Raw genomic sequence first — 21,501 nt, forward strand, 5'->3', positions numbered from 1 at the left:
TAAAAGAGACAAAAACATATGGAGAAGATACATAATTTAGAATGAACATATTCAATGTAAGAAAGAATAGAAACAAATAAAACAGAAAGCAATAATCAAACATATAATTGAAGAAATGTTCTGAATTGGAGAAGAGAAAGGGTTTTGAAAGGTGTTAATATACACCAGGCAAAAAATAATAATAATAACAGCATACCAACTTTAGATGTGCAGTGGCAACATTTAAAAATTTTAATATTAAAAAATTTTTTAAATCCAGTTGAAAGATTATCAGCAAATCACAAAAATTAAGCTGATTTAAAAATTCTCCATGACAACATCAGAATTAAATGAAATGATTTGTATGGCATTTGTATCTGAATAACCTAATACACATTCACTAAATGGAAGCCATAGAAAATATTCTCAGATCCATAAGAAAAAAGAAAACAAGTGACTCATAAATATTCTGGAAATATTTTGTTCAGTTTTGGTTTTCGTTTTTCAAGACTATTGAGATATAATTCACAAATAAAAAGTATATCTATTTAGAGGTATAGAATGTGATGTTTTGATACAATAGTCCCCCCTTATCTGTAGGGCATACATTCCAAGATTCTGAGTGGATACCTCAGAATATCATTCCAAGATACCTAAAGCCGTGGATAGTACCAAACCCTAAATATATTGTCTTTTCATATGCATACACACCTATGATAAAACTTAATTCATTAATTAGGCACAGTAAGAGATTAACAACAATAACTAATAATATAGTAGCTCTATTAAAACGACATACTGTAATCAAAGCTATGTGAATGTTGTCTCTGTCTCTGTCTCTCTCTCTCTCTCAAAATATCTTATTGTATTTTTTTGCAGGTAACTGAAACCACAGAAAGCAAAACTGTGGTTAAGGGTGAACTACTGTACATGTATACATTGTGAAATGATTACCACAATCAAGCTAATTAACATATCCATCATCTTACAAAGTTATCTATTGTATGTGTGTGTGCATGTGTGTGTGTGTGTGTGGTGAGAATTCTTTAGATGTACTCTCTTAGCAAATTTCAAGTATGCAATATGTTATTATTAACTATAGTCACCATACTGTATATTAGGCCTTCAGAATTTATTAGTCTTATAGCTGAAAATTTGTACCATTTGACCAACATCTTCCATTTTTTCCACAGCTTCACCCCTGCTTCTGAGTTTGACTCCTCTCCTTTCCGCTTCTGTTTGACATTTTTAGATTCCACATATAAGTGAAATTATTCAGTATTTGTCTTTCAGTGTCTGGCTTATTTCTCTTATTATAATATAGTACAATATGATAGAGTATAATATTGTCCATATTCATCCACGTTGTCACAAATGACAGGATTTTCTTCCTTTTTTGGCTGAATAATATGCCATTGTGTAAATATACAATGGAATTGTGTATGTATACACACCACATTTTCTTAATCTATTTATCTGTCAATGGACACTTACCTATTTTTCTATTACCTATTAGAGCAGTGCTTTGAGATGCTCCAGTTTGTGTGCCTTTTTTCTATCCTTCTTTCATCCAGGCGGTGGGAGAAGCATGAAATGCATTTGCAGTGGCCTTGGGCCATTGGTGGTGTCCGCAGGTGAGACATCTCGAGTGCCTCATGGACAAACTTCCTCATGGAATCCACTGGAGCAATTATGAGAGTCCACGGCCTCTCTTCTCTGGTTCTACCCTCTCCCAATCTCTCACCTGTGCCGATCACCTCAGTAATTTGGGTAAGACAAAAAAGAGGTGGGGCTATTGGGCAGCATCTCACACAGCCAGGGAACTGACAGTTTATTTACTATACTCTCACTTTCCTTTATGGGAGAAACGGGCTAAGGAGGTCTCTCTTGGCACTGAGCTGTGACACCTTGGGGGAGAAAAAGTGCAGGTAAAGTGCAACTGTTCTTATTCTCTTCTCTTCTCCGTATGCATACTCAAACTTTTTGCTCTGAGAATGTGCTGAAACTTCTTTGCTAAACTCTTAGATTCCTACAAGGATACTCTTGTCCATGAGTAGTTGTAAAATTGATGCTTCTTTTGGGGAATGACAGTAGAAAACTCCCTTTTCATCATCTTGCTGATGTCCTGGAAAAATTCTTAAGAATATATTCTGGATACACTTAAAAGCAAAACACTCATAGCATTAAAAAAAGTAGCAGTAAATATTGGAGACATTTCAGTAAAGAAGATAAGACTGTGTAAGTACTATAACTATAATTTAAAATGAGTGCAAATATCATAAAAAAGCATTTTACAATATTTGTGAAAATTTATAATTTTTGATTAAATGTACAAAAATTGATAATCATATATGAGGAGAAAATAGTAAAAATTCAAATCTATATCTTATAAAGTAAAAAGTCATATTTTTTCCCTGCTGTAAGTTCTAAAAAAAATTTGTTTAATTTGACTTCAAAAACTTAAAGATAACACTCACAGAATTTTAAATACCCACTGGAACATAAAAACAAAGGAAATGTCGATGATGTAGCAAATGACAGACCACAAGGAAAACAGTATAAATGTTTACGATACAAAACAAAAGCACTCTATTAAGAAGTCAGAAAAACAAACTTTAGCAATAACCTGAATATGACTAATTTAACTTCCTTTGTTAAAGGGAAAGGCAATTTGTTCAATAAGCAAATTTAACTATATACTGCTCACAAAAGGTATCTGGAAACCAAAATGGTACAAAAGGTTGATAGTGTGTATACTTTACATAAATGGCTTAATAGATAAATATAAATAGATATTAGAAATGATTATATTAAAATCAAACAAATAAAATTAATGGTAAAACAAATTAAAGGGGCAAGAAGGGATCATACTAATTTGATCATAGACACAATTCACAATTAAGGCAAAATAGTGATTTATGCAATAATAAATTGACTAAGAAAAGCTTTAGTACTATGAATTACTATTGCTATATGAGTTCAGGTCAAATGTGATAAAAATTAATGATATAAAGGATTTGACTATTGTAATGCTAATAGATTAAGAAATAAAAGTAATGCTAATAGATTAAGAAGCAAGTATCATATTTATATACACTCATAAAACACACTGAAAATTCTCAACAAATTCCAAATAATACAAGTTTTTAGGTAACATTTGACCATGATACCGACATATCCAAATTTAGTAGCAAAATTGTAAACATAAACATCCTATTATCTGGATATATAATTAAAATTTTTGTATACAACTAGGACAATAAAAGGAAAAATATAAATTCACTTTAAATTCAATAAATCTAAGAATAATAATATCCGCATATATAGCATGTGACCAAAGCTATATTAAAAAATAATTGCATGGACTTATGGGATTATGTTGTTTTCTTCTGTTTTAGGAGATAAGTAAGCATAAACACCAAAATCAATTACTTAGAAGGTAGTAAAAATGAAATACAAATATAATTAATAAATAAGCCTAAGAACTAATTCTTAGAAGGAAGCAAATAAACTGAAAAATACAAAATTTCTTTTAAGTTCTAATGAAGAAATTAAAAACAACACAATATTATATTAAAATATAACAACCTTAGAAATCAGAAAGAAGACATAATAAAACTGAATTCATAGTAAGCTTCTTAATTCTCAGGGCATTGTTTCGTTCATTTTATTAATTTATAAACTAGCACATCTGTAACCTAACAACTTATAGGCATAACAGTCTCCTATAAATATCTATAGAATAAATGAAAATGCAGGATATTCAAAAATTGAAAGAGAATACTTTGCAGAACCATGTACTCATTAACTGTAAAAAAAAAGTTTCAATTTCAAAGAATCATATGCTTAATTTTTCAATCTTTTAAGGGTTAATTGCTTTTTATTTTATAGGACATAGAAAACACGAAAAAGTTCTTAGTTATTTTACAAAGTAGAAAATATAAGTTTGACAAAAATAGAAAAGAAAGAAAACAAAGTATCATGTGCACACAGAAACACAATAAAAAAACAAAAAAGAGAACAGTTTCACTTAGTACAGTGGAAGAACAATAATGTGCTAACAAACTTAATTAAAATATTAAATACATAGTTCACCAAAAGAAAATAGGATTTTTTTCCAGGGAGGAAATCTAATATGAGGCTGTTTAGTCTCCAGTTATGAGCATGACCTTGGAATCCAGGCACCTTGATATAATTCTCTGTTCTCTCACTTAGTAGCTGCCTGACCTTGAACAAATGACTTCACCTCTTTATGCCTGAGTTTCTTAATCTGAAAAATAGGAATAATAATAGCACTGATCTTAAAGAATCACTTATGAAAATTATATGATATATAAAATGCTGAGCAGGGTGCCTGGTATATAATCAGTGCTATTACTATCATTACTATGATTAATCACTATTATTATTTTAATTCATAATATCAGGAGCCATCTTTATTAGATTTTTATCCCAAAGCAGTAATGCATACAATTGCTGCAATGTGTTGTTTTATGTTATTTGGATTAGCAATATAAGTAAAGGAAATCAAAAGAGCAAAGGAATCATTTGTATTATGTAAATGAAAATATGTCAAATTCCAATATTCTTCTTTTTGCAGGACCAGAAAATCTTTCTCTTCCAGTCAGTGTCATTCATTTATGACCAGCGGTTGAATCCAGTCATAAAATCTGAAGCTCCTGGGTACCTCTACATCACTGGGCCTATGATACACTGTTTCAGAACGTACTTACACATGGGGTGGGACGATTTTCTTAACTAATACTTGTGACTACTCCACAGCAAAGCTGGAAACAAAAGTATTGGGTGAGCTATCTTCCAAAATCTGGAGATGGTTTCGGAGAGAGTTTCATTGCCATAAATTTAAAGGGGGATTGGATTTACTCAGGAAAAATTACAAGTGAGCGTAGGAGATAAACTAGTAAATGCCATATTTGGCCCACCAGGCACAAAGAAGGGTTATAATTGGCTCCTTTAAGTCCTATATGCAGATATCAAATCCCTATACTTGCTCTTTATTGCATAGAATAAATTTACCTCACTCCTTACTTTGAAACATGAAATGAGGATCAAATTATAGTTTCAATTATTGCAAATAGTTGTACAAATGAAAAGATTGTCTTATTGTGGGCATTACACAAACCCACCAAGGAATAAGTAATCTTTAAATTCTATGAAGTGATTTGTAATCTGATACAGTAAGAAAAAAAAATCTCAGACTTTGATTAATTACCACCACGCTCACCGCTATATCACTGTCCAATGTCATCATAATTTCACTGCCACTTAAAACTACACTTCAGCCATAGAAAGCCAAAAAATTAGGCACTGGTGACCTGTCCAAAAGAAAAAAAAAAAAAAAGGAACAGGAAGTGGAGAAATACCACCTCATAAATTTCACCCAACCACATTTAACAGCCACCTGGAGTTCACACCAACTCACTTGGATCTCCTATGACGAATATGCCTCTATCACAATGTTGAGGCCACTGAGTTTCTCATGTACTAAAATTTGGCTTAATGTGGTTACTCTTTCTCTCTGGGAGTTTTAAGAACAACTTCATGGTCATAATATTCTCTTTAATAAATATGATTCATCTGAATGTTAGATTCCCGTTTAACTACCACAATCTTCAGAAGAAAAGTTATAGCTCTTACTGACTTCAGAAGCTGCTCTGGATGACTTTATAATTTATCATCCAAATGGAAGACGTTTGAGAGCGAAAGGATACACTAAAATAATTAAATGTATACAATTTTTGGAAAATGTTTATTGCTTAAAAATATTGTTTATTGTATGAAATTTTGTATATTTATATTCATGTGTCTGTAAAAACAATTCTATTCAAAAATTACTTTAAAAATTCTTTAAAGATACAAATATATTTGTATACTTTAAAACAGGTTGAAATATTGATTATATAAACTATTAGAAAGTTACATAAGCAGAAAGAATATTACCTGCACATATTTATGTGCTTTAATCTGCTCCTTAGCTGAATCTGTCTCTAATGTGTTTTTTAAAAAATATTTTTAAATTATTTTTATTTTTCCTATAAAATTGTCTGAAATATTTGAAATTTGAAAATTAAAATTCTTCATTTAAAAATTTGAAGTCACTGATATCCTTACTCACTAGACACATCTTTGTAAAAGAACCAAAAAAATAAAATATCTGTAAATGTCCCAAGGGAACTGCTTATCTCCAAATAAATTCTGCTAAATGTGATATTATCTCAATTTCAATTTATTTTAAGCTGAAATGCATAAATGTTTCAGCCCAAATATTTTCATGGGCACTGCCTCTTTTGCCTCCATGTAGCACAGCTTCTTCCAACAAATTTTTTTTAAGACAACACTTGTCAAAAAAGTTGTATCTATTTATAATATTTTTGAAAACTTCACCAAATTAAAGCGCTGAAACATTGTAGGCTTTGTCAATTTTCTTTCAGTCTGATACAAAATACCATTTATCCAATTAAAATTAGGAAATCAACAAATTCTTTCCACAAGTCAGATGTTCCAAAGCTGTTATGTAATTTCAAAACTAAATGTTAGAGCCTCTTGTGAGCTCATTCTGCAGTTCGTTCAGCTTCCCCTTGCTTTTGTAGAGATAAATGTTTTCCTGCCTGCAAGATATTGTCTTCAATATTTTCAGTTTGCAGAAAGCTTCAACCAGAAGTTGCTGTTTTTTCTTGCCACACCATTTTTAAATGCGTTGTTTAAAAATTTTTCAGCCGATTTTGCATACAGTGCAACCAAAAGTTAGATAACTCATTTATCAAAATATGAATATTATTGTAGGACATTAAGGTTGATTTAGAAAGTAGTTATTCAAATGATCAAACATTCCTAAAATCTTACTGATGAGAGGCTGCAGAAAAAGCATACCGTTATGCTGGAGATTTTTAAATTCAATATTAGCTTTATCACAAAAGTTTAATTATTCCAATTGTGTAGATATAAAAATATTTATGGATTTTGACATCTTTAGCTTCTATTTCAATTAGTAGATTTTTTTAATTAAACTTAAGTTCTGGGATACATGTGCAGAACGTGCAGGTTTGTTACATAGATATACATGTGCCATGGTGATTTGCTGCACCCATTAACCCGTCATGTACATTAGGTATTTCTCCTATGCTATCCCTCCCCTTCCCCACAACCCCCCGACTGGCCCCAGTATGTGATGTTCCCCTCCCTCTGTCTATGTGTTCTCTTTGTTCAACTCCCACTTTTAAGTGAGAACATGGGGTGTTTGGTTTTCTGTTCCGGTGTTAGTTTTCTGAGAATGATGGTTTCCAGCTTCATCCATGTCCCTGAAAAGGACATTAACTCATTATTTTTTATGGCTGCATAGTATTCCATGGTATATATGTGTCACATTTTCTTTATCCAGTCCATCATTGATGGGCATTTGGATTGGTTCCAAGTCTTTGCTCTTGTGAATAGTGCTGCAATAAACATACGTGTGCATGTATCTTTATAGAATGATTTTTAATCCTTTGGGTATATACCCAGCAATGGGATTGCTGGGTCAAATGATATTTCTAGTTCTAGATCCTTGAGGAATCACCACACTGTTTTCCACATTGGTTGAACTAATTTACACTCCCTCCAACAGTGTAAAAGCATTCCTATTTCTCCAAATCTCCAGCATCTGTTGTTTCCTGACTTTTTAATGATCACCATTTTAACTGGTGTAAGAAGGTATCTCATTGTGGTTTTGATTTGCATTTCTCTAACGACCAGTGATGATGAGCTTTTTTACATATGCTTGTTGGCCACATAAATGTCTTCTTTTGAGAAGTGTCTGTTCATATCCTTTACCCACTTTTTGATGGGATTCTTTGTTTTTTTCTTGTAAATTTGTTTAAGTTCCTTATAGATTCTGGATATTAGCCCTTTGTCAGATGGCTAGATTGCAAAAATTTTCTCCCATTCTGTAGGTTGCCTATTCACTCTGATGATAGTTTCTTTGGTTGTGCAGAAGCTCTTTAGTTTAATTAGATCCCATTTGTCAATCTTGGCTTTGTTGCCCTTGCTTTTGGCGTTTTAGCCATGAAGTCTTTGCCCATGCCTATGTCCTGAATGGTATTGCCTAGGTTTTCTTCTAGGGGTTTTATAGTTTTAGGTCTTACGTTTAAATCTTTAGTCCATCTTGAGTTAATTTTTGTATAAGGTGTAAGGAAGGGGTCCAGTTTCAGTTTTCTGCAAATGGCTAGACCGTTTTCTCAATACCGTTTATTAAATAAGGAATCCTTTCCCCATTGCTTGTTTTTGTCAGATTTGCCAAAGATCAGATGGTTGTAGATGTGTGGTGTTATTTCTGAGGCCTCTGTTTTGTTCCATTAGTCTATATATCTGTGTTGGTATCAGTAGCCTTGCAGTTCGAAGTCAGGTAGCGTGATGCCTCCAGTTTTGTTCTTTTTGCTTAGGATTGTCTTGGCTATACGGGCTCTTTTTTTGGTAGAATGTTACAGCTTGTTTGGATAAAATTACAAATTATGAGGATACTACATCCAACTCCAAATACATTTCTCCTCCATAGATTCCTTAATTTAGTAAGAACATTACTGTTACCAGGATGATCTGTTCCATCAAAATTTATATCTGTATTATCATCACAAAAACAGATACTTTAATTTCAGGGTTGTACTTTTAATGTTGACAATGATCTCAAGATATTTCACCTTTGAGAATGAATTCCAAAAGCTTTACTTTGATTACAGAAACCACATGGGGAAAAAAACGTATATTGGAATTAATGATTTTCAATTTGAAGCATCTGCTAATACAAAATGGACATCCTTTGAGCTTGAGAAGTTCTGCTACTAATGGAGCCACATTTTCTGCTATTGCTTCCTGCTTCATGCATACACAAAAACTTGAAAGTGAAAATGAGCAAAATTAACTTAAACTAACAACCAATTGATAGAAATAAAAACTCATGCTTTAAAGAGTGATATATAGGCACACCTTCTGTGGTCACATATGTAAAATTCTCCTTTTGAGCATAGTCTTCCCAAAATAATAACTTTGAAGGCTGATGCTTCTGACTTCCCAGAAGATTTTTTGTCTGCTAGTTGTCAGCTGGTGTGTGAAATCATTATGGCTTTTATGATGTATGAAGATCCTACTTTTAATTTTTTTTTTTTTTTTTGAGACAGAGTTTTGCTCTTGTTGCCCAGGCTGGAGTGCAATGGCGCGATCTCCACTCACCGCAACATCCGCCTCCCAGGTTCAAGCAATTCTCCTGCTTCGGCCTCCCAAGTAGCTGGGACCACAGGCATGCACCACCACGCCCAGTCAATTTTGTATTTTTAGTAGAGACAGGGTTTCTCCATGTTGGTCAGGCTGGTCTTGAACTCCCGACCTCAGGTAATCCGCCCGCCTCAGCCTCCCAAAGTGCTGGGATTACAGGTGTGAGCCACTGCGCCTGGCTTTACTTTTAATTTTTAAATTAAACATGCACTTTCATTTTTTAGGTCATTGTTGCATGTATTGCAAAATTCAGAAAGTATTGCCAAATAATGTGATAGATAAATCACTACACACTTAAAATTGGTAGATGACAAAATCACTGTAACAAGAGCATTCAAACTACTTTGCTATACATTTTAAGACTGGACTGTTCAGTCTCTATCTTTTACACATATGTGATGATGTTTATCTAGCTATAATACTCTACGTTTCCTAGTGACTCTTCTAGGATCCTGGTGGTTTTGTGTAGCTTGCAGGCCCCACAGGCTGCAACAAAACTGGCTGTTACACTAAGGGGAGCAGCATCTAATACTTCTTCCATGATCTCCAAGACAAAAGGAATTTGTTGCTCATAACTGAGTGCCTTGTCCATTCTTGAATCTGGAAAGTTCTTTAAAAAATTAAAGGGAGAGAGATAGGCTACTGCTGATTATCTTTCCATGTATATATGTCTCATACCTACTACCAGGAAGAAAATGACAGAAGCTGGAAATAAAGTAGAGGTCTACCAAACTTATTCTGACTTATTTTTGTACAACTATTAATAATAATACTTGAATAAAAATTAAGAGACTTGGATATATACCAGCTGAACAGGATGCAAGGACAATAATGTAAACTAAGACTGTCCCACGCAAACTGGGATGGGTGATCACCCTTCATAGAAGCAAGCTTCTAATGGTATCAGATATTTAAGGACTATTTGCTAAGGGCCAGGCCTTATGGTATTTTGATGATAAAACAGTAATGAAAATAGAATCCCTATTTCTTTCAGTAGGCCCAGTTTGCAGAGTTCACCTTTGTAAAGAGTACAGTTTTCAAAGACCATTCTCACCATCAACTCTTTTGTTTCAAGAAGCACACTGTCCCCTCTAACACCACTGGCTTCAAGAACTTTCCCAACAATCATCCCAAAGGCAGCCAGCATAGCAGAGCATAATGTGCAGCATCTGTATTTATACTGCTTTGAGTATAGTACCCACTCCCAGCACTGACAGGATGGGCCATTGCTATAACCAGGCTTTCTCACTCAGCCTCTTCTCTTGGTGCAATTCAGCAGCTTCAAGAGCAGCCAAAGCCACAAGAATGTCAGGGTGATTATTGGCCAATGTCAAACTTACTTTAGAGCAGAGGCCCCTTAAGTTCAGGAGACAGATTTACCTTTCTTATAGGCTTAATAGAATTAAGCAAATCAGCACTTCCTGCTAAAGGCGGGCTGCACAACCACCATGCTACCAGTATCATTAAGGAACCACATGTGTTTAAAATAAAATTGTTTCGAACAGTGGGTCTCAAATACCTGCTATTCTGGCATACTTTTTGACTTTTAGATTGCTGTCAAGCTGTGATGACTTTAACCTTATTCTTTGAAACATTCTCCTTTCCCCTTTCTTTCTCTATTCATTTCTCAAATTAAATTTCTTCTAATGAAAAGAGAAATAGAATATACTCAAAATATACTTGAGGGTCAAGTTGGTGTCATTTTTTTCCTTTTCTTATAAGACATTTGCACTCCATTTCAACCAGTGGTCCCATTATTCCTCCTGTTTCCAAACAAGGAACACTGGCCTCCTCACTTTTCTCAGATCATGTCAGTTGCCAGTCTCTAGGCTTTGTCATATTTTTCTAAGATCTGACTCTTAAATTTCCTGCTTGCTCATCATTCCCATGCTATCTGTCCAGTCTGAGCCTTAATAACCTCTTCTCTGTGAGAATGAACCCAAATTTTCACCTTTACCACCCTGGTGTTACAAGCAGGAAAAGCCAGAATGGCTTGGTTTCTACCCCCACTCTGTTATCTAGTAGGTAAACTTTGATTATTTAACCTTTCTCTGCCTTAGTTTCTATCTGTAAACTGGGATGAATAATAGTACTTGTTCCATAGCAATGCTGTGAGGATTAAATGAGTTATATGTAAAGTACTTAGCTCTGAGGTACTTGGCTGTTATTTCACCCCTTATATCTCCAATCTGAGGTTCTGCAGGGGAACAAGTAGGGTAGGGACACCATCCACCAACAGTGAATGTAGGAAAGCTTTGGAAAGTGCTTAAGGCAACTTTCTTATCTTAACAAGGCCAAGATTGCTTGATATAGAATCAGAGTAGTGTTACAAGAAGGAATATGGAGTTCCTCAAATAGAAGAGAGGGTGGTCTTCAGAAGGAAATCAGTCCTCAGGGTTTGGAAATATATGTTTGATTTCAGATACTTCAAAAAGAACTGGACCTCAATCCAGAATGCAAACCTTGCACAAAAATCAGAACTTTTTCTCCATAATTTATTCAAGTAATTTAATTTAGCACACTGATCACTGTTCTTTTCTGAACATCATAAATGTTCAAAAAATTTTCTAAAAAGCTGTTACCAAATACACATCTATCAAGTTTTTTTTTCTTTTAATGGGTCACACATTTATAACAAATTTGATACTTTATACTTATTTTGTGAAACACACAGAGCCAAGTCTCGGTATATAATTATAATTAATACACTGACTTTTTTTTCTCACACATTTAATGGCCAGAACAGTTGATTGATTAATTCATTGATTGGTGTTATTAAATCAGAAAAAATTCTTTAGAAAAGTTGCATGACTTTTCAAACTAAATTCTCTAGTAGTAAATTTAGGATAATTATACCAGGTCTAATGTTAAACTCACAGAAAGATAATGTAGGCAAAAGTGCCTTGTATCATGTCTAAACGTGCAACATTATTAAATCACATAGCTGTGGTTTCAGTTTTGATGTGTTTGTGTGTACACAATTAAGGGAACTACTTCATGGAAATTCAAACTACAGTTGCTAGCTAATTGCTCTACACCAACCCTCCAAGTTATACTCTGTTGTCATCTTCCCAGCCCCCACACTAATGAGTAATAATAATTGCTACCAATTATTAAGCTTCTATGGATTTTTTGACATTCAATTAGGTGTTTTATACATAATATCTCTAGACTCATACCTTTGGACCTACCTTAGACACACATGGCACTTCTGGAGCACATAGTTAGGCTCTCTCTGTTCTCAGGTTTAGTTTGTCTTCATTAGTAACTCCTTTTGCTTCTCCATTATTCACAGCAAAGGTGTCTCAAGGGTCCTGACAGAGGATAGGCAGAAACACATCCCTGAAGAAACTTCAATCATTTTTTTACTCCATGTTACCAATGACCAAGCACAAATTCAAGCTATTGAGATGAGAGGCTGAGGACTGATAATCCTGTGTTCCCAGTCAAACTCAGCCCTACTATGGTTGTTCTTGAGCCTGCAGCCTCATCACCCAGACCTTCAGTGTGATCGTTTTATGGGCATCCCTCAGCTGGGTATTCCTCCAGGGAGCCCTCTCCATGCCTACCCACTTGACCTTCCACTTGACCTCCAACTGAACCAGTGCCTTGGTTCATTCATGCTCTCATCTGCCTTCCTTTCTGGGCTCTGGTCCTTCACCAGTAGTCATCATACCCCCTTCCTCATGTTGTATCTTCTACATCCTTATGGCACCCTGAGATGAATCATAGCATTTTTATCTCCCATCTGTTTCTTCTGCCAGGTAATTGGAAAGGGAAACTAGAGCTTTGAGAATAAAAGAGACCAGGGAAGGCACCAGGGTGGGTTTCTGTTTTGGTTTGCTGCATATTTTGGTATTTATTGTTTTCCTTTGCATATTTGTTCATCTATTCCTCTTGTCTTAAAAAAAAAAAAAAAAGGTGTTTCATCTCCTGCCACCAGAACTCACTAGTTCCTCATAGAAGATCCATATCTCCTTGAAATCATAACGTTTGGATCTTATTGAATAATAAGAAAACTATTTCCTTCCTAAATGTGAGCTACATTAAAATCCCTCTTCAATTAACTTCCATTACTGGGGAGGATCACTATTCCGGAACTGAATCATTTCTTCCTGTTTGTTTGCCCTTTTATTATATGGAAAATGAGAGAGTTCTGTTATAGAAAAATGTGTCTCTAATCCTCACATCAACATTCCAAATAAGGCACTGGGTCTTAACATATGAAGATCTGCTAAATTTATTCAAATTTTATACTAAATCATTGGCAGAAGTAGAAAGTTTGATGCAACGTTTATTAAACCAAGCTTTTGGACAGGAAATGGCATCAAAATATATTCAGAAGGAAATTTTAAAATATCTGAAATTCTGACAATATGCAGAGTACTACTAATACTGTTACTATTACAAGTAACTAACATCATAACTATCATGTGATATAAGCCTCCTCAAAGAGATATGTTGACCTCATTCGCCTAGAGTGATAAAGGAAATTCCTCTCACTCTCCTGATCCTGCCCAATCCTTTACTCTCTCATGGCCCACTACCCTATTGTTCTCTTATCTGTGCTTCATGAACTGGTCTGTCCTCCCTATTATCAGAAACCAATTTACAAAGAACAGTTCTCGTGAATGTCACCCTGCTAGGTAATCAAAGAGAATTATTACTACAGAAAATCATTAAGAAATGATGTTTAAAACTACAGAGAGCTAATTAGTTATATTTCTAAAAACAGAAAAGCTGACCCTGGGAATTTCATTGAGCTAACTTGGCCTGTCAGTGGTGGGGCTAGAGAAAGAAGTTGGAGTCCTTACTGATTATAATCTTTACCACGGTTCTTATACAAATGTCTAAACTTGGAGATAATCAAATGTTTATTGTTTTTGGTTTGCATCTGTCAAGATATTCTTTTATCTTTGGGGTCTAAACAAAAACAAAGTTACCAAAGTCATTTTAAGTGATTTTACTTCTTACTAAACATAAATTCTTCAGTGATTTTAAATGAAGTTAAATACTACAGATACGAGATCAGGCTATAAGACCGTTCTTGGCACTCGCTATGGATAATTGCACCCTATATTTTATTCATCAGTGTGGCTTTTATTAGGGAACATCACCATTCTGGGATGACACAGTTATGTTTAACTTTGCTTTATTTTTGAGCTACTGTCTGGTGATTCTGCTGCTGCCTGATGGAAAGGTCAGGGCCCTGCAAAAGCAGCTGGCACCTTGCCAGGTGGGCTCCTGGAGTAGCAGAACCTGGCCTGGCAGCAGCATGTCTTGACCCCAGCCCTGCAATGCAATGCCATGATTTCATATGATCCAAGATGTCCCCCAAATCAGGAGGAGTGTCTTTTGGTATGCATGACTATCACAAACATTTTAATGTGTATTTAACAACAGCCTATAACAGCAACAAAGATTCATGGAAAAGCCAAGTCAGTCTGATCCAGTAGTCTTTATTTCTTATTTAAATAGAAGTTCCTATCCATTTTGAAATCACTGCCCAGATTTTTTTTATCTTGAATATATATTATATTCTGGCTAGGCACAAAGTGTCTTTAAACATTTTATGGAACGTTTTGCCTAACTCCAGTAGAGTAAAGTAGAAGACAGCCAGTAGAGGTATTTTTTTCAATGCAGAAGTTTAATGAGTAGGTTCAAAGTATTCTGGAAGATATTGTTCGAAATCTTGTACTTAACTTCTGAATTTAAAGATCCTGAAGATAGGGCCGGACGTGTTGTCTTACATCTGTAATGTAATCCCAGCACTTTGGGAGGCCGAAGTGGGCAGATCACGAGGTCAGGAGATCAAGACCATCCTGTCTAACACAGTGAAACCCCATCTCTACCAAAAATACAAAAAATTAGCCAGCCGTGGGCACCTGTAGTCCCAGCTACTTAGGAGGCTAAGGCAGGAGGATGGCCTGAACCCAGGGAGGCAGAGCTTGCAGTGAGCCGAGATATCGCCACTGCACTCCAGCCTGGGCGACAGAGCGAGACTCCATCTCAAAAAAAAAAAAAAGATCCTGAAGATAAACAGAGATTGCTGATGAGAGTGAGGAGGTCTGAACATGGAGATCCAGGGCTACTTATCCTAAAGTGAGAGAAGCCAAATTCAAAAGGCAGGTAAATTAGTTATTCCTCTGTAGGAGGAGGGGAAAACTCTTAACAGAGAAAGGAGTGTTTAGAAACAAGCAGGATGAATGTTTTGGCAAAAGAATGAATGCTGATTTTTATTATGTGAAGGAACTTGTGAAAACACAATCAGTTTCAGAAAAGAACATGGAAGAGAAAATTAAGTTCATATGGAAGAAATTGAAAATAAAATTAGCTGAGTCATAGGTTGTGAAAGAGATTATCTACCTGCTCCTGATTCTCCTGCATTCACCACCCTAACAACGTATCTGTGAAAAATCTTTAAACATGCCAAATTTCAAAAGCACTCTAATTTAAACCTACTGATCAATCTTTTTAATTTTTGGATATTATAATCTGTAACTCCTGCAACATGGGCATCCATTAGCTGACTCAAGCTTAGACCTCAGAAACACAGCAAACTGGTGATGTGGTTAGGCTGTGTCCCCACCCAAATCTCATCTTGAATTGCAGTTCCCATAATCCCCATGTGTCATGGTAGAGACCCAGGGAGAGGTAGTTGAATCATGGGGTGGTTACCCCCATGCTATTCTCTGATAGTGAGTGATTTCTCATGAGATCTGATGGTTTTATAAGGGGCTTTTCTCCCTTTTGCTCGGAACTTCTCCTTTCTGCCATCATGTGAAGAAGAATGTGTTTGCTTCCCCTTCCACTATGATTATTAGTTTCCTGAGACATTCATGAGACATGTGGAACCGTGAGTCAATTAAACTTCTTTTCTTTAAAAATTACCCAGTCTCAGGTAGTTCTTTATAGCAACATTAGAACAGACTAACACAGTAAATTGGTACAAGGAGTGGGACACTACGATGATACCCAAAAATGTGGAATCAACTTTGGAACTGGGTAACAGGCAGAGGTTGGAACAGGTTGGAGGGCTCAAAAGAGGACAGGAAAATGTGGGAAAGTTTGGAACTTCCTAGAGACTTGGAGGGCTCAGAAGACAGGAAGATGTGGGAAAGTTTGGAACTTCCTAGAGACTTGTTGAATGGCTTTGACCAGAATGCTGGTAGTGATATTGACAATGAAGTCCAGGCTGAGGTGGTCTCAGACAGAGATGGGAAACTTTTTGGGAACTGAAGTAAAGGTCACTCTTCATATGCAAAGAGACTGGCAGCATTTGTCCCTGTCCCAGAGATCTGTGGAACTTTGAACTTAAGAGAGATGATTTAGTGTAAGTGGTAGAAAAAAATTCTAAGAGACAAAGTGTTCAAGAGGAAGCAGAGCATAAAAGTTTGGAAAATTTGCAGGCTGGCAATGCAATAGAAAAAGAAAATCCCATTTTCTGGGGGAAAAATTCAAGCTGGCTGTAGAAATTTGCATAAGTAATGAGAAGCCAAATATTAATCACCAAGACAATGGGGAATATGTCTCCAGGGCATGTCAGAGACCTTCCCAGCAGTCCCTCCCATCACTGGCCCTGAGGCCCAGAAGGGAAAAATGGCTTCAGAGGCCAGGCCCAGGGCCCCCTTTCTCTGTGCAGCCTCAGGACATGGTGCCCTGTATCCCAGCTGCTTCAGCTCCAGCTGTGGCTAAAAGGGACCAAGGTAGAGCTCAGGCCATTGCTTCAGAGGGTGTAAGCCCCAACCTTGGCAGCATCCACATGGTGTTGGGCCTGCAGGTGTGCAGAAGTCAAGAATTAAGGTTTGGGAACCTTTGCCTAGATTTCAGGAGATGTATCGAAATGCCTGGATGTCCAGCAGAAGTTTGCTGCAGGAGCAGAGCCCTCATGGAGAATCTCTGCTAGGGCAGTGTGGAAGGGAAATGTGAGGTTGGAGCCTCCACGCAGAGTCCCCATGGGCGCACTGCCTAGTGGAGCTGTGAGAAGAGGGCCACCGTCCGCCAGACCCCAGAATGGTAAATTTACCAACAGCTTATGCTGTGCACCTGGAAAAGCCACAGACACTCAATGCCAGCCCGTGAAAGCAGCCAGGAAGGGGACTGTACCTTGCAAAGCCACAGGGGCAGAGGTGCCCAAGGCTGTGGGAGCCCACCTCTTGCATCAGCATGACCTGGATGGGAGACATGGAGTGAAAGGAGATCTTTTTGGAACTTTTAAGGTTTAATGACTGCCCTATTGGATTTCGGACTTGCATGGGGCCTGGAGCCAATTCTTTTGGCCAATTTATCCCAATGGGCCATATTTGGAATGGGCATATTTACCCAATAGGTTTATTTACCCAGTGCCTTTGCCCCCATTGTATCCAGGAAGTAACTAACTTGCTTTTGATTTTATAGGCTCATAGGTGGAAGGGGCTTGCCTTTTCTCAGATAAGACTTTGGACTTGGACTTTTGAGTTAACGCTGGAATGAGTTAAGACTTTGGGGGACTATGGGAAGGGTGTAATTGTTTTGAAATGTGAGGGCATGAGATTTAGGAAGGACTACAGGTGGAATGATGTGGTTTAACTGTGTCCCCACCAAAATCTCATCTCGAATTGTAGTTCCTATAATCCCCACGTGTCACGGGAGGGACTCAGTGGGAGATAATTGAATCATGCGGGAGGTTACCCTCATGCTGTTCTTGTGATAATGAGTGATTTCTCATGAGATCTAATGGTTTCATAAGAGACTTTTCCCCTTTTTGCTTGGCACTTCTCCTTCCTGCTATTATGTGAAGAAGGATGTGTTTGGTTCCCCTTCTGCCATGATTGTAAGTTTCCTGAGGCCTCCTAAGCCATGTGGAACTGTGAGTTAAATAAACTTCTTTTCTTTAGAGATTACCAGTCTTAGGCAGTTTTTTAATAGCAGCATGAAAGTGGACAAATACACCTGGCTAGGCAGATGAAGAGTAAGATCAAGCATCCACTCTATTTCCTGGAATATCAGAGACTCAGGTGCTGGACCACTGGCCAGAAAGCCTGGAAGCTACTCTTCTCTTATGAGATGTCCATGGTGATTTATTTCTTCCTCACCCACACATCTATCCAAATGCTTTTAAACCTTCATACACTGACTTTATTATAACTTGAACTTCTACTCATCTTATATTGACCCGACTAAATTATCTCTCATTCACAAAGTGTTGTCTTTCATCAACTGCCTGACGAATGATGATTTTTGAGAATTACCAATAGTCTGGGAATTCTGCTGCTTACCTGGGAGAAAGGGGTCTCTGTCTAAGAAGCAGTGAACAATATTTGGATGGATCTGGAATTAGTATCACGCCCTTGCTAGGAAGAAGCAAATCTGTGGCTCTTTCCTGCAATCCCCCAAAAAAAAAAAAAGTTTTTTTAAGAAAATAGTTTCATTGATATGCAATTTATATACCACAATGTTCACCTATTTAAAATGTACAATTTAGTCAATGGTTTTAATATATCTACAGAGTTTTACAGAGGAAGGAATTCAAAGGCTTCAGGAAGAGTGGAGTTGTCATTTAAGACCTACTCACCCACACCAGGGGGTTCAGACAACATACTTTCCCCCAATACTTTGTGAAATGCATTTGTGAAGGGAGTCCTGGTATCCCTAGAGAGCTTGGTGATAGTGATTGTGCTTCCCTGTAGGCCAAACTTTAGAGAGTGAGAACCATATCCAGCCACTCAACTGGAAAATCTAAATGCAACAGGAGTAATTGGATCCTGGGGTGCCCAAGTGGCAGCACTCAACCACCAAGGACAAGGCGACCATAGTTACTCTAGTGCTCAGTAGAGTCACATCAGCAATCAGAAGACTGACGCACAGACCTATAGCACTGGCTAATTGAACAGTGTTCCTGGAAGTGAAACAGATAGGAAGCCTACTAAATTTTTACTTGGTCTGTATAAGCAGAAAAATTCTGGGTCAAGTGAACAAAAGTCTAACTTGAATAATAAAGACAGAGTTACTGACCTCAAGTTCTGGATTTGAGCCAGGTTGCAGACCCAGAATCCCTTGAATAAAGGGGAGGATAGGTCCACTCAAGAAAGGACCCTGGTATACTACCAAAATTGTTTATTGTTAGTCTTTCTCCCAGCCTTCCCCAAAGAGACCCATGGCCTTTTACCAAGTAACTATGCATTGAGAAAAAGGAAATAATCGGACCTTTCAGGGATTTTTGGTCACTGGCTCTAAACTTATACTGATTTCAGGAGACCCAAAACATTACAATGGCTCTCCAGTCAGAATAGGGCCTTATAAAGATCAGGTGATTATAATAGAGTTTTAGCTTAGGTCCATCTTAAATTAAAGTGCATCCCTGAGTGGTCACTAAGTGGGTCCCTGAACCCATCCTGTGATCATTTCCCCAGCTACCAACTGCATAATTGGAATAGACTTACTTAGCAGTTAGCAAAATCCCAAAATTCATTCCTTGATCTGTAAGATGATGCCTACTATTGTGGGAAAGGCCAAGAGGAAGCCATTAGAACTATCTGTACCTAGGAAAACAGTAAATCAAATGCAATACTGTACTCCTGGAGGGATTTCAGTGGTTGCTGCCGTCACCAAGGACTTGAAAAATGCAGGGGTGTGGATTCCCATCACATCCCCATTCAATTCTCCTATTTGTCACTGTTCAAAAGACAGATGGATCTTGGAGAATGACAGTGGATTATCATAAACTTAACCAAGTGGTGGCTCCAAATGCATCAGCTGTACCAGATATGGATTTATTGCTTGAGTAAATTAACACATAACCTGCTACCTGATATGTAGCTATTGATTTGGCAAATGCGTTTTTCTCCATCTCTGTTCACAAAACCTACTAGAAGTAATTTACTTTCAGCTGGAAAGGCAAGAAGCACTTCACTGTCCTACTTCGGGGGTCTATACAGCCCTCCAGCTCTATGGCATAATTAAGTTCACAAGGATCTTGATCATCTTTCCCTTCCATAAGATACCACACTGGTCCATTACATTGATGACATTATGTTAATCGGACCTAATGAGCTAGATGTAGCAGCTTCTCTACACTAACTGATAAGACATTTGCATGTCAGAGAATGGTAAATAAATTTAGAATCCTTCTACCTCGGTGAAATTTCTAGGGCCCCAGTTATGTGGAACATATTGAGATATTCCTTCTAAGATAAAATATAAATTGTTGCATCTGGTCCCTCTTACAACCAAGAATGAGGCACAACATCTACTGGGCCTATTGGGATTTTGAAGAAATCATATTTCTCAATTGGGTGTGTGACTTCAACCCATTTACTGAGTGACCTGAAAAGCTTTTAGTTTTGATTGGTGCTCAGAAAAAGAGAAAAGCTCTGCAACAAGTCCAGTCTGCTGTACATGTTGCTCTGCTACTTGAGCCATACAGTCCAGCAGATCCAGTGGTATTTGAAGTGTTAGTAGCAGATAAGTATGCAGTTTGGAGCCTCTGACAGGCTCTTTTAGGTGACCTGCAGCACAGGCCTTTAGAATTTTGTAGCAAGGTCCTACCATCATCCCCAAATAACTACTCTCATTTTGAGAGACAGCTCTTGGCCTGATAATGGACCTTGGTAGTAACTGAATTCCTGACCATGAGCCACCAAGTTACCATATGATCTGAGCTGCCCAACATGAGCCGGGTATTATCTGACCCACCAAGCCATAAAGCTGGGCATGTACAGCAACAGTCTATGTCAAATGGAAGAGGTATATATGTGATGGAGCCTGAATAGGCCCTGAAAGCACAAGTAAGTACATGAAGAAGTGGCTCAAATGCCCATGCTTCCTACTCCTGCTACACTGCCTTCTTTCTCCCAGCCTGCACCTGGGACCTCATGAGGAGTTTCCTACAATTCATTGATAAAGGAAGAGAAGACTCAGGCCTGGCTTATAAATGGTTCTGCGTGATATGCAGGCACCACTCAAAAGTGGACAACTATAGCACTACAGCTACTCTCTGAGACATCCCTGAAGGGCAGTGGTAAAGATTAATCTTCACAGTGGGAAGAATTCCAGGTAGTACACCTGGTTATACACTTTTATTGGAAGGGAAAATGATTATATGTGTTATTATACACTGACTCATAGGCTGTAGCTAATGGTTTAGTAGGAGCATCAGGGACTTGGAGGGAACATGATTAGAAAACTGGTAACAAATACATTTGGAGAAGAGGTATGTGGAAAACCCTCTTTTAAATGGGAAAAAATCATACAGACATTTGTGTCCTTGTGAATACTCAC

General features: G+C 37.1%; 2 long non-coding RNA genes across 8 annotated transcripts in view; one reads left to right on the forward strand and one right to left on the reverse strand.

Moving 5' to 3' along the window:
* Positions 1-21,501, reverse strand: part of LOC105377989 (uncharacterized) — a 347,578-nt gene that overhangs the window by 10,515 nt on the left and 315,562 nt on the right. For 5 of the 7 annotated variants that reach the window (XR_007059748.1, XR_007059747.1, XR_007059745.1 and 2 more), the window contains one exon: positions 8,122-12,557. This is a non-coding gene — a long non-coding RNA (uncharacterized LOC105377989). Of the gene's footprint in view, positions 1-1,488; positions 2,105-8,121; positions 12,558-18,500; positions 18,605-21,501 lie in introns of those variants that run through there. The other 2 variants (XR_002956387.2, XR_007059746.1) reach the window with 2 other exon arrangements.
* On the forward strand, positions 1,661-5,320 carry LOC105377991 (uncharacterized). The gene is made up of 3 exons (XR_942964.3): positions 1,661-1,749; positions 1,845-1,907; positions 4,580-5,320. It is a non-coding gene; the product is annotated as an uncharacterized LOC105377991 (long non-coding RNA).

Source organism: Homo sapiens, chromosome 6 (assembly GCF_000001405.40).
Source record: "Homo sapiens chromosome 6, GRCh38.p14 Primary Assembly".
Taxonomy (NCBI): domain Eukaryota; kingdom Metazoa; phylum Chordata; class Mammalia; order Primates; family Hominidae; genus Homo; species Homo sapiens.